The sequence below is a fragment of the Homo sapiens genome, chromosome 21 (genome assembly GCF_000001405.40).
Source record: "Homo sapiens chromosome 21, GRCh38.p14 Primary Assembly".
NCBI lineage: Eukaryota > Metazoa > Chordata > Mammalia > Primates > Hominidae > Homo > Homo sapiens.
Genome location: NC_000021.9, coordinates 24972663 through 24986431, shown reverse-complemented (window position 1 = coordinate 24986431; position 13769 = coordinate 24972663). Strand labels below are relative to the sequence as shown.

At 35.1% G+C, this 13769-nt stretch overlaps 1 long non-coding RNA gene across 1 annotated transcript in view; it reads right to left on the bottom strand.

Annotated features, from left to right (window-relative positions):
• LINC01692 (long intergenic non-protein coding RNA 1692) overlaps positions 1–13769 on the bottom strand; it is a 217197-nt gene that overhangs the window by 71315 nt on the left and 132113 nt on the right. The gene's annotated exons all lie outside the window — the stretch shown is intronic.

Below are 13769 nucleotides of genomic sequence, written 5' to 3'. Positions count from 1 at the left end.
TGGAACACAGGAATTTTTTTTTCTTAGGGCAATGCAACTATTCTGTGTGATACTACAATGGTGGACGCATGTTATTGTATGTTTGCAAAATCCATAGAATATACAACATACAGAGTGAACTCTTATATAAACTCTGAACTTTGATTAACAATAATGTATTGATATTGGCTCATTTCACAATTAACAAGTGGTTCATTTAGCAACGTAACAAATGCACCACAGTAATGCAAGATATCAATAATAGAGGAAGGGCCTGGGTGCAGTGGCTCACGCCTGTAATCCCAGCACTTTGGGAGGCCAAGGTGGGCAGATCATGAGGTCAGGAGATCGACACCATCCTGGCTAACACGGTGAAACCCCGTGTTAAAAATACAAAAAATTATCTGAGCGTGGTGGCGGGCACCTGTAGTCCCAGCTACTTGGGAGGCTGAGGCAGGAGAATGGCGTGAACCCGGGAGGTGAAGCTTGCAGTGAGCCGAGATCATGCCACTGCACTCCAGCCTGGGTGACAGAGCAAGACTCCGTCTCCAACAAAAAAAAAAAAAAAAAAAAAAAAAAATAGAGGAAATGGGAAGGGTGAAGGTGTATACAGAAACTTCTATTTTCTTCTCAGTTTTTAAAATAAACATACGATTGCTCAAAAAAGTCTACTAATTAACAAAAACAACAAAAAAGGTTGGTGCTCCTTCTGTGGAAGATGCCAACTTTGTCTTGTTGATCCTAGGCTTGTAAGTTTTCCCTCTCTCTCACCCTCAACATAAATAAAGCTTAGTCCTTTACATGCCACTTCCCCCAGATTCAAAGTAATATTAAATTATCTTGAAGTAAAGAGATTGTGATCCTCAAATAAGGAAATGGAGAGAAAGTCTGCCTACCTCCTTAAATAGAAAGTAGCCTAGGGAATAACTGTGAGAAGTGAAAGAATAAGTGATAATGATGATGATGATGATGATGATAATAATAAAAATAATAATGATGATGCTTATGCAGGGTAAGGACTCATGAAAGTTCTACCAATGATGACATAGCAGTGTAATAAAAAGAGCATAGCCTTCCAATTCTGTCCATATTACTCACTAGCAATGTGACCAAAAGTAGCTTTTTAACATTCTAATGTGCTATTTTCTCAAGTATCAAATAGTAAGAATAATCATATTTGTGTTGTGAGGTATTCAGAAGTTTAAATGGCCAATAGAGGTTACTGACCATAGTGTTTAGGCATGCAAGACAGTTTTTCTCTTGTCTCTTGGAGAGGTGACACACCATAGTCTTCTTTGCCAGTAAGGAAGTTGAAATAACATCTTGAATAAGAGATACATGGATATGGCTCAAAGCAAAGGTTTACCCTTGGGGAACCAAGAGTTTTATGGTCTCCTTAAGATCACGGTCAACTAAAAAAATGTCATCCAGGCAGAAAGCATTCCTCTGCTTGAGGCATAAAGAGATACTACTGTTTATGGTGTTTGCACTTTGGGAGAGGAAGCTGCTTAGAGATCCTGAGGATTGTCAGGATCTAGAAAAGATTAGTTGGGGTTTTTCAGAAGCAGAGAAGGCAGAAAAGCCAAGAATCTTATGATGTATCACTCTGGGCACCAGCTGAAGGAAAATAAAATCAGCTAAGTTCCCAATCTCTTTAATATTTTGTACCTTCTTAACCAATCTGCCCTGATGGTTGGGGAAGAGGGATTTAGATAGGGCGACCTGGTCTTGAATGAATTTGGTGTGGCAGTGTAGGCGTGTAGGAAAGAAGCAGGAAAGCAGAGCATTTAGCATAAAAATGGACCATTAAAGGGATTTATGCAATTGTGTTCACTTGAAATCCAGAGATTAGGGGAAGGATCTGGGTAAACACTTGAGCTAAATCTCCATTAATTATGATTCAGATCCTCAATTTTTACTTTGGTTTCACTTTGTAGAGCTTTCAGTGACATTCAAAATAATAAATGTTTCTCAAATCCTAAATTCTACCGTTAAGAAACTTTTCATAAAATCAGAGGCATGGGATGATTGTAATTGATGGAAGGAAGGCAATATTAGTAACCACTGAAAAGATAACCTATTTTTAATGGATAACTGGGAAAAATACATTAAAAACAATGGGAGAAATAAATTTGATATGTTGAGGACACCAATGCTTTATGCAAAGAACTGAAACCAACAGGAATTCCTATCTTTGTGTTAAAAAATACATCTATTGGGTTCAGGTAATTTTTCTGTTTCTATGTTACACTGAGGCCAAGCAAAAATAACTTAGTTGCTTTCCCCAGAAAATATTCATTCCTGGAAGATAAGAGTGAGCCAACTGAAATAGTTTATTTATCAATGCTAGTAGTATGCTGCTCAAAACTCAATTCATCTTGCTGTATATACCAATTTGAAGTTATTAAGTCACAAATTCTGTCAATGCCAATTAATTCTCAAATTTGAAAGATCTGCCTTAGAAAAGCCCAGCTCAGGCCCTAGGAGATTATACCTACTTTTTTCTAATATTCAGTTACTGAAATACTGTTAAGACTCTGTTAGGTGGTATTCTGACTGCAGTAAGTCTTTAAAGTTTAGTTTTGCTTGATCAGTGTTTTCCTGTTTTGTTTTGTTTTTTTCCTGGTCTTTGGAGGATTCAACAGTTGGTAATTCTGGAGGTTTTGTAGCTCCATTTGAAACCCCCTCACTACCACAGGTCGAGATCCTCAATCCTAAACAACATTCTCTGTGAAGGTGCCTGGAACATCCTCCCAGGAGCCTCTACAACTGCTGTACTGAGCTAAGTTTTGGACTGGGTCTGAGCTCTGATTTTTTTTTCAGGTTCCTAGGCTCCAAACTGCTTAGTTTCTTTCAATTCTATGCATATTGGAATTAGTTGATTTTGTAACCAGGTTTGAAATTCCCATCCTTGGAGGGGTCCCGTCTTTAACTCGTAATACACTGCTGTGTTTTTAAGTTTTCTAGGGGATGGAGTGGGAAGGTCTTTGTCATACTCTGATATAAGCTTATAAGACCAAGGTCTTAGAGAAGAGATTGGACATAGACCTAATAAATCCATTCATTGAAGCTCACTCTAAGGGCTGATAAATTCAGAAAGCCATGTCAGACAGGCGTTATGGAAAACGTTTGCATTGGGCTATCTGTCAAAGCCTTTTTACACCTTGCCACAGTCTTGTCTAAATTCTTCTGTGACAGTTTGGTTCAGGAAGAAACTTTTTGAAAACTCCTGAACACGAGAAGAATTATGAATTTATCAGATTGTCAGTCTATGCCATCTCCGGGACAGACTTCACCTTCTTTTACGTGTCCATACTATAACACTAATTAGGTATTTGTCTTTCTAAATACCGTAATTTCTTGAAAGATAATTAAGGATTACAATGAATATTTGGGGGGAGGGGCTTCTGCTATGAAAAAAATTATTCATTTGAGAAGTGCCTTAGAACAAAACAGGGGCAAAATTCCAAACCTCTTATGTTTATCATTTTTTATTACTAGGGGAAGCTTCCAAAAAAATTCAGATTCCAAAATTACTTCTGTAAAAAAATGTGTAGCTAAGTCAGAAGAAAAAATGTGAAAAAAACATGAAACTATCTTTCTCTTTTATCTTCCTAAATCACATTTCAAATCTACTAGATTTCTTCCACATTTCTTTTCCTTCCATTATGATCCTACATCACACTCTGACCCCCCCACTTCTGACCTACTTCCTTTCCCTTCTGCTCTACAAGAAACCCTCACAACTCAATTGCCTCTTTCAAATTAGAGTAGCTTCTTAGGGCTGATTTTAAGCCCTAGTCTCATTCTTGTAAAGAACTTTCCAAAGCCAAGACATGAAAGAAAGAAATTCACAAATTCACAGAATAATTTAGTTCTAAGAAGATGTAGAGCTTTATACTCTATACCAATTTTTGCTTAATGTAGTAGAGACCTTAAGTACAAGAAGTACAAGCTATGAAATGGAAAAGGTAGAGTGGGAAGTTCCTCAGCATGTCCTCAGAGGACTACCCTAGTCTACTTATTACATCAAAAACCACTGGAATTAGCTATACATACTGGTTAAGATCTTCTCAAGGATACCTCCAATGTCTTTTCTACGAAAATAGACTTGAATCAAATTTTGTCCTATAGGTAAAGAAAGAATGAGCCCATTGGAGATAATAGTATGCATTTTAACAACTCTAAGATTTTTTGAAGGCTACCTCCAATCTCTTCTATGAAAATAGTCTGGAATAAAATTTGGGCCTATAGGCAAAGGAAGAATGAGCCCATTGGAGATATCAGCCATAGGCATTTAAATGTCTTTGGATAGTATTAAGCAGTCGATCCTAAAGTACATGTGAAACTAGCTTTAGGATCAGTCTTTTTGATGAGGGAAATTATCTTCAGCTTTAAATGGAGAATATGATATGCAAGCAAACACCTCAATGAGAACCACATCTCTCACACCTCCATGAATATTTTGAAAGAGCCATTGGACAAAAGCATAAATGGATCTAGAATATGTTTTACTGACCTTACATTAAAACTATCAGATGCTTCCTCCATTAGGCACCCATAATGGTGCAGATTGTTGCAACCATAACTTTCTACAAGCTTGCACAACACATCTAAAACTAGACACTAAAGAAACACTGAAACCAATATTTCAAAGTCTAAAGAAGTAGGAGCTCATCATAGCTTGCACTTATCTGTGTAATAATTTTGTCTTCCTACGGAAGAAAGTCACCTGGAGAGGATATTGATGTATGAAGCACCTCAAGGACATAATAAAATAGTTATTCCACTCTTGTGGTTTTGAATAAAAGTACTATTTTATCTTCTGCATTACATTATAGTTGTAAATCTGTGTTCTACCTTCTTTAGTGTCCTTCAGATAAACATTCTTTTTTTTTTTTTTTGCATTTTACTGGGAATGTCAACAATGTACACAAAAGTAAATAACATAGAGGTTAAAGTAAAATTCATGGCTGTTTAGGTAGAAAACCATGAGAAAAATCCTTGCTCTCAGGACAGTCCAAGAGGCCAAATACTTTGAATGGTTTAAAGCTAGTTTTGATTCCAATGTCAGAAAGAAATACCAGAAAAAAACATCCTTGCAAATTGCATGAGAATAATCTCTGGCCCTTTCAGGAGTTTGTTGGCACCAGAGAATCTTGAATAGAAACTTTCATAAAATTTTAATGAAAGCATTGACTGACTATAGCAAGGACAATTTGGCTGCAGTAGTCAACTAGCATTACTGAAACGTTTGACCCAAATTGTTGACGATGCCGCTGATGAAAATCTCACCAATCGCCAGCAGCATAGTCCTGGTAAAATTATAAAGAAGAAAAATGAAAAATAGCTAAAAAATAGAAAAATGTCTCGGGACATCTCCAAGTAAGTTTTGTCCTACTATCCTCCACAACTGATTTTGAATATGTTTGTCAGTGTTTTCTAATTCTGGTGATGGATTGAAGCTTTTCTTTGAAAGAGCTATGATCTGATACTAGCAAAAATACCACTTGATTTTGTTATCCCATTCTGGGAATTCCAACCTATCTCTGCAGTAACAGAGATACCCATTTTACTGGGACTGTCACTAACAAGATTTTCAACACTTTGCTGCTTATTCAGAAACTTTACTGCCCATATTATCCCAATCTTCAGAAATGATAGAAGGAACAATTAATTCTTAAGCTAAAACATCAACAAAGCTTTCAGACATTATAGGAATCCAAAGAGTATTGGCATTGTTTTTAATGACAAAGAAATTGCCTATTTTTAGGATCTTATTTGTTCTTCCATTCTGAATTGAAATCAGACTGCCTCTTACACCTAGAAATTTACTCTGATTCTACATTCTGGTCAAATTCAAGCAGACATCCTCTGATACTGCAAAGAACTCATAAAATGCACCTAATCATCATCAATACATACAGTATTTCTTCAACATCCTCCTAAATAATGCTTACATGGTCTGAAATGTTAAGATCTTGTCTTCTGGAAGAGATACCAGATAGGGTTATTGAACTCTAATGAAAACATCTCATCAAGTACTGTAACTAGTTAGCATAACTCTAAAAGTACACTTGTTTCTTGGATATACTTTACTAGGAGAAGAGAATTCATCCTCAAAGAATTAGAAAACTGTTCCAACTAGAAACCTCAAAATGAGGATTTTAAAGAATCTTCTAGAAGTGGACAATCTTTAGGTGACAGCTTCAACCCATAATCTTTGTAACAAGTTGGCAACTGCAAGAAGTTGTTGATCCAAGGCACACAGAACGATATTCAAATAATCTAAACATAGCTTGTCATATACTTTAATCTGCATGCTATTATTCTTTATCTTTATATGTATTTCTCTTTTTTCTACACTTAAAATTCAGGATTAAACCTATACATCATATTTAGAAAGAGGACTTTGTAGCAACCAGCCTTTGTAACAGAACTTTCAGAAAAACAGACCCGGAAAAATAAAAGGAAATAGATAATGTATATTTGGAGGCTGTATTACTTTTACATATCTTATAAGAGAGCTATACTACATTTTCAACTTCATTTATTGACTTAGATGTACCCAAAGTTTTTTTTTCTTTTTTATAGTGAGCAAATGTCTCCTTTATTTATCTTTAAATGTTTATTTTTTTAATTGACAAATACAAATTATATATAGTTATGGTGTACAACATAATTTTGTGATACATATTCATACACACACACACATTGTGGAATGACTAAATCAAACTAAAATATCCATTACCTCACATACTTATCTTATTTTTGTGCTGAGAACATTTAAAATCTACTCTCTTACCAATTTTCAAGTATATACTAAAGTAATGCTCCTTATCTACAGTTTCTCTTTCCATGATTTTTGTTACCTGCAGTAAACTGCAGTCAAAAAAATTAAATAGAAAACTCAAGAACTAAACGATTAATAAGTTTTCTGAGTAGCGTGATGAAATCTCATGCTGTCCCTCCCGGGACAGGGATTATCCCTTTGTCCAGTGTATCCATGCTGTATGTGGTATTCGTGTGTTAAGCCCTTGGTAGCCATCTTGCTTGTCAGATCAACTGTGGCAGTATCACAGTGCTTGTGTTCAAGTAATCCTTATTTTACTTAATGATGTCCCTAAAGCACAATTCAGATATGTCAAAGAGAAACTGTTAGGCATCTCCTGTAAGTGACAAGGTGAAAGTTCTCTACTTAATAAGGAAAGAAAAGAAATCATGCTGAGTTTTCTACGATCTATGGTAAAAATGAATTTTCTGCCCATTAAATTGTGAACAGAATGTTGTTATAATTGTTCTATTTTATTATTGTTATTACTAGTCTCTTCCTGTGCCTACTTTATAAATTCAACTTTATCATAGATATGTATGTATATAAAAATAAAAATTTTACATAGGGTTTAGAATAATCTGTGGTTTCAGGCATCCAGTGGGGATTTTGGAACCTATCCCCTGTGGATAAAAGAGGAATGACTATACATTGTTTTAAACTATAATCACCACATTGTACAATGGCTCTACCTTTTCTATACTACAATTAATGCTGCCTGATGCTGACGACTCTTGAAGAATGACAGAAAATTATTAAAATAATATTTCACAATAGAATATGTGGTGTTCTAGCTGAAAACAAATTACTAGTCACTAATGGCTGATATTGGATTTGAGGCATGCAACATATTGGCTGTTATCCTCACGAGATCCATGATCTGAAGACTGTCACACAGCATCCATGATTTCACCCAGGATCTCTTTCAGCCTCTATTTTTCTCCCTACTAAAAAGATATCTTTAGATAATTTAAATTAAGAAGGAAAAAATTTGAAACTTGGACTTTGAAAATTTTAATAATTGAAAAAGGTTTTTGGCTTTTTCCTTTATTTTATGATTCTCTAAAAGTAAGAAAAATCCTGACTAGAATTCATAGAATAGAAGAACAACTAGATCATGTCACTATGGCTTTAGCACTCTGGCATGAAATCAGGCAGGGAATGGTTCAAAATAAAAGTGTCTTAGATTTATCACCGATCTTTGCGAGTAAAGTATTTGTTGTCTTAGAGGACTATTGTGCTTATAGCTTCATCTCTCTCAGGTTGCCTTAATCTACAAAAAGGCTCACAAAACAAAGACATAAAATTACATATCTTTGTCAACAACCAGTTAAATTAATTTGGTTACATCTTTTTCTGTGAGCAATAAATGAGGAGTTTTATTCTCTTGCTTTAATATGACTCTCTTGACTTTCATCTTCAAAATTAACTATGGACTCTTATCATAAGCCTTCTCATAGTGTTCCCCATGGTTATGGTGCTCAAATGTGTGATCACAGGAGACTGATGTCCTATTGCTCAATCATTGTCATAAGTGCTATGCAGCTGCCTTCCCAGGAAAAGTTCTAACAGATGATTATACAACAAATTGACACAAAGAGCTATTGGAACAGTTACCACCAAACACTCCCAATGTGACTCTGTCAGTTAGGGTTGAAGCAGAGAATCAGAACAAGGACCAGGAGTGTATTTAAAAATGTGTCATAAGCAATTAGATAATGCAATGGTGAGGACCAGCCAGGCAAATCCAAAGTCTGTAGACAGGACAGCAGGAAGGGCTTGTCATACTCTCAAGCACAGGGTGAATTTTTTGTCCACATCCAGAATTTCTTCTTCAGGAAATTTCTAGTTCTGTTTTAAATGCCTTTTGACTAATAGAATCAGGTCAACTCCAATTATCTAGGATGATCCCCAGTATTTAAAGTCAACTGATTATTCACTGTAATCACTTCTGTGAAATATCTTCACAACAGCAGATAGATTAGTGTTTCCCTGAATAACTGGGGACTGTAGCTTATCCAAGCTGGCATATTAAAATGACCACCAGAGTTAATCCATGCTAGTTTTCTATGGCTGCTGTAACAAATTACCATACTTTTAGTGGCTTAAAACAACACAGATTTATTTTATAATTCTGTAGGTCAGAAGTCCAACATGGTTTTCACTTGGGCTAACTACAAAGGGCTGTATTTCATTCTAGAGGCTCTAGTGGAGGACCCATTTCTTCTGTTTTTCTGGAGTCTTCTGGAGGCTTCTGGCTTCTGGAGGCTTTCCATGGTTTTTGTCTCATGACCCTTTTCCTCCATCTTCAATGCCACCACAAGCAGGCTAAGCATTTCTCACACTGCATCACTATGCCTTGCTTCTGTCATCACTCTCTTTATTCAACTGTGCATCCTTTGCCTCCATCTTCTACTTACTTTAAGTTTTTTTAAGATCTAATTAACGTAACACATTTTACTCAGTTACAGTGTACAATTCAATGACTCACAGATCTGTTCAACCAGCACAACAGTCAATTTTAGAACATTCTTCTCACCTCAAGAAGAAACTCCTAGTTTTCTTTATTATCTCCCATCGTCCCACCATCCTCAGTCCTAAGCAACCACTGATATACTTTCTGTCTGTATAAATTTCTCTACTCTTCACAATTGATACGAATGGAATCATACATTATATAGTCTTTTGGGACTGAATTTTTTTTACTTAGCATAATGTTTTCAAGGCTTATTTGTGCTGCAGTATCTATCAATACTTCATTTTTATGGTCAAATATAATTTTATTATATGGATATACTCATACTTTGTTTATGGATTATTTTTACCTTTTGGCTATTGGAAATCATAGTATAATGATGCTATAACAATAAATAACAATAAAATATTGCTATAATAACATTCACTTAAAAATACATATTAAAATACAAGTATTTCTTTGAATATCTGTCTTCAATTCTTTTGTGTATATGCCTAGGAATGGACTTGCTGTGACATAGGATACTCTATTAATCATTTGAGGAACAGTAAGACCGTTTTCCAAAATGACTGCACCATTTTACATTTCCACTAGTAATCTATGGGGATTCTATTTTCTCCAAATTTTTGTCAACCTTTCTGATTATCTGTCTTTTTGATTATAGTCATCATAGCAGGTGTGAAGTGGTATTTCATTGTGGTTTCATTTGCATTTCCCAGATAACTAATGAAACTGAACTTCTTCACATGTGTTTTTAGTCATTTTTTGTATCTTCTGTGAAAAAAATGTTCATTCAGATTCTTTACCTTTTCAAAATGGGTTTGTCTTTTTATTGCTGAGTTGTAAGAGATTTTATATATTCTAGATACATGACCCATATCAGATACATGACTTTCAAATATTTTCTTCCATTTTATGAGCTGTGTTTTCACTTTCTTGATGGTTTTCTTTGAATGTTAAAAGTTTTTATTTTAATGAAGTTCAAATGGTCTGTTGTTTCTCTTGTTCTTCCTGCCTTTGGAGTCATATCTATCAATCATTTGTCACATAAAAGCTTGTAAATATTTTCTCCAATGTGTTATAGTTTTACATTTAGTTTTTTGATCCATTTCCAGTTAATTTTTGTATATGGTGTAAAATAGAGGTCTTATTTCATTCTTTTGCATGTGGCTATCCAATTATCTCAGTACCATGTATTGAAAAGACTATTCCGTCTTTCATTGAATTATTTAAAATCAATTGGTTATGGATGTATGGTTTTATTTTTGGTCTCTCAATTCTTATCCATTGGTATATACATCTGTTCTTGTGCTGGCATCACACTGTGTTGACTGTCATTGCTTTGTAGGAAGTTTTGAAATTGTGAAGTACTCCTACCTTGTTCTTTATTTTCAAGGTTATTTTGACTATTGTGGGTCTCCTGCCTCCACTTTATCGACAACTTTTTCTTTTGTAAGTGGAAAACTACTGTAGTATCTATAAAATAATTAAGAAGAAGTGAGCCTAAAATAAAATAATTTTATGGAAACACAAATTCATTTTTTATTTTCCTGAATAGTAAAAGTATTAAGAATAAGACTCATATTTGGTTTTTGTATGTTTTTAAAAAGCATTGTGCAAAATATCTTTTCAAGCTGGTAAAGCTGCTATGTAGAAATAGACCAGTTAATGGTCTGGAAGATTTGTAATGTGCTCTATACACATCAATCTCTGTTAAGAGAGGCTAAACGTTCCAGGTTGCACAATTTAAATACATCAATTTCTGCAAGAGGTCAGCTGGGATTCTTGAGGAGTACTGCCATCTTAACAATTATTTAGTATCCTGATTCATGTATATAAGTTGCCTTTCCATTCAGTACAGAGTCTTTAATTTTCAAAAATATGTTGCCGTTTCCAGAGTATAACTTTAGTACTACTTTGTTAAATTTATTTCTTAGCATTTTTTTATTGTATTGTAAATGGGTTTGTTTTCTTACTTTCATATTTGGATTGTTTGTTATAAATATATGGGATACAAATGATGTTTGTTGATACTACTATTGTGTCCTATCACCTTGTTGAAGTCATTGGGTATTTATAATTTTAGTGGATACTTAGGATTTTCTATATGCAAGACAATGTTATCTGAGAATAAAGATAGCTTTTCTTATTTTTTTCTAATTTGGATCATTTTATTTTTTCCCCTAATTTCTCTGGCTAGACCTTCAAAAACTGTGTTGAATAGAAGTGGTGAGAGTAGGTGTCCTCTTTTTCTTGATCTTAAGAGGAAAGCATTCATTTTTACCATCAAGGATGATGTCACATGTGGGTTTCTCACAAATACCCGTTATCAAGTGGAGGAAGGTTTCCTTCTATTCCTAGTTTATTGAGTATTTTTATCAGAAATGATATAGGGTTTTGTTAAATGCTTTTTCTGTGTTTATGGATATGATCATGTAATTTTTTTTTTTTTTTTTGAGACTGAGTCTCCCTCTATTGCCCAGGCTGGAGTACAGTGGCATGATCTCGGCTCACTGCAACCTCTGCCTCCCAGGTTCAAGCGATTCTCATGCCTCAGCCTCCCGAGTAGCTGGGATTACAGGTGCCCGCCACCATGCCCAGCTAATTTCTGTATTTTTAGTAGAGACGGGGTCTCACCATGTTGACCAGGATGGTCTCAAACCCCTGACCTCAAATGATTCACCCACATTGATCTCTCAAAGTGCTGGGATTACAGGGTTGAGCCACAGCACCTGGCCTGATCATGTAATTTTAAAATTCTATTGATATAATGTATTACATTAATTATTTGTTGTATGTTTAATCAACCTTGCATTCCTGGGATAAATCCTACTTGGTCATGGTATATAATTCTTTTTATATGTTGCTGGATTTAGTTTGCTAGTATTTTGTTAAGGATTTCTGCATGTATATTAAAGGTAATTTAGGTATAAAGGTATATTAAAGGTCTATTTTCTATGTTTCTCCTGTCTGTTTTTGTTCCTTTACTGATTTCTTTTGCATTATATAATATTTTCTAATTAAGCATTTAAATTTATTTATTTATTTTTACTATATCTTTTGAGTTTTTCAAAAAAGTGGTTTCTTTAGGGCATACTACATAAATTTTAACTATCATATTAATTTTCAGATTTATGCTAACTTAATTCTAGTAAGATATTGGAATATTATTTCTATATAACTCTTTATGAACTGAATGCCTGTGTCTTGCCCAAATTCTTATGTTAAAGCCCTGCCCCTCAATGTGGTGGCACTAGGAGGTGTGACCTTTCAGAGGTAATTAGGTTTAAGTGAGTTTCTGAAGGTGAGGCATCCGTGACTGTATTAGTGCCATTATAAGACGAAGAGCCCAGAATCCACTTTGTTTCTGCCATGCGAAGCACAATGAGAAGGCAGCTATTTGCAAGCCAGGGTGAGGGCCCTTACTAGCACCCAACCATGCTGACACTCTGATCTCAGACATCTACTCTCAAAAACTGTGAGCAAATAGATGTCTACTCTTTTTTTTTGTTTGAGATGGAGTCTCGCTCTGTCACCCAGGCTGGAGTGCAGTGGCACGATCTCGGCTCACTGCAAGCTCTGCCTCCAGGGTTCATGCCATTCTCCTGCCTCAGCCTCCCGAGTAGCTAGGACTACAGGTGCCCACCATCACACCTGGCTAATTTTTTATACTTTTAGTAGAGACAGGGTTTCACCGTGTTAGCCAGGAGGGTCTCAATCTCCTGACCTCGTGATCCACACACTTCGGCCTCCTAAAGTGCTGGGATAACAGGCCTGAGCCACCGCGCCTGGCCCAGATGTTTACTCTTTAAGCTTCCTAGTCCATGGCATTTTGTTATTGCAGCCTGAGATGCCTAAGACATTATCTCTATTCTTTTTCCCCTATTTTTGTTATACTGGTATTATACATATTTATGTATTAATATTACAAACCTACAAACTCATGATACTTTGTTATAATTATTAACTTACTCATCTGCAGTCATTTCCTTAGCCCAATGTAGGTTTGTTCTCACCCACCTCCTTTGTGCTGTCATTAGCAAACATATTACCAATTTATTACATTTCTGTGTTACAGACCGAACAATACATTGTAACATATTATTTTATACAACTGCTTTGTAAATCAAGAGAAAAAGAAAAATATAGATTTATACTGCCTTGTGGAATCATATAACTAACTTTATTGAAGCTCCTATTTTTCTATGTGTATTCAAATTATTATCTAGGGTTATTTCCCGTCAGCCTGAAGAAACTCCTTTAGAGTTTATTGTAAGGTGGGTCTGCTAGCAACACATTCTCTCAGTTTTTGTTAATCTAGGAATGTTCTTATTTTACTTTAATTTTGGAAAGATAGATTTACCTGATATAAGATTTTTGGCTGACAGGTTTTGCTTTTTTTTTTTTTTAACTGAACACTTTAAATATGATATCCTATTGCCTTCCAGCCTACATTGTTTTTGCTGAGAAGTCAGCTGTTAA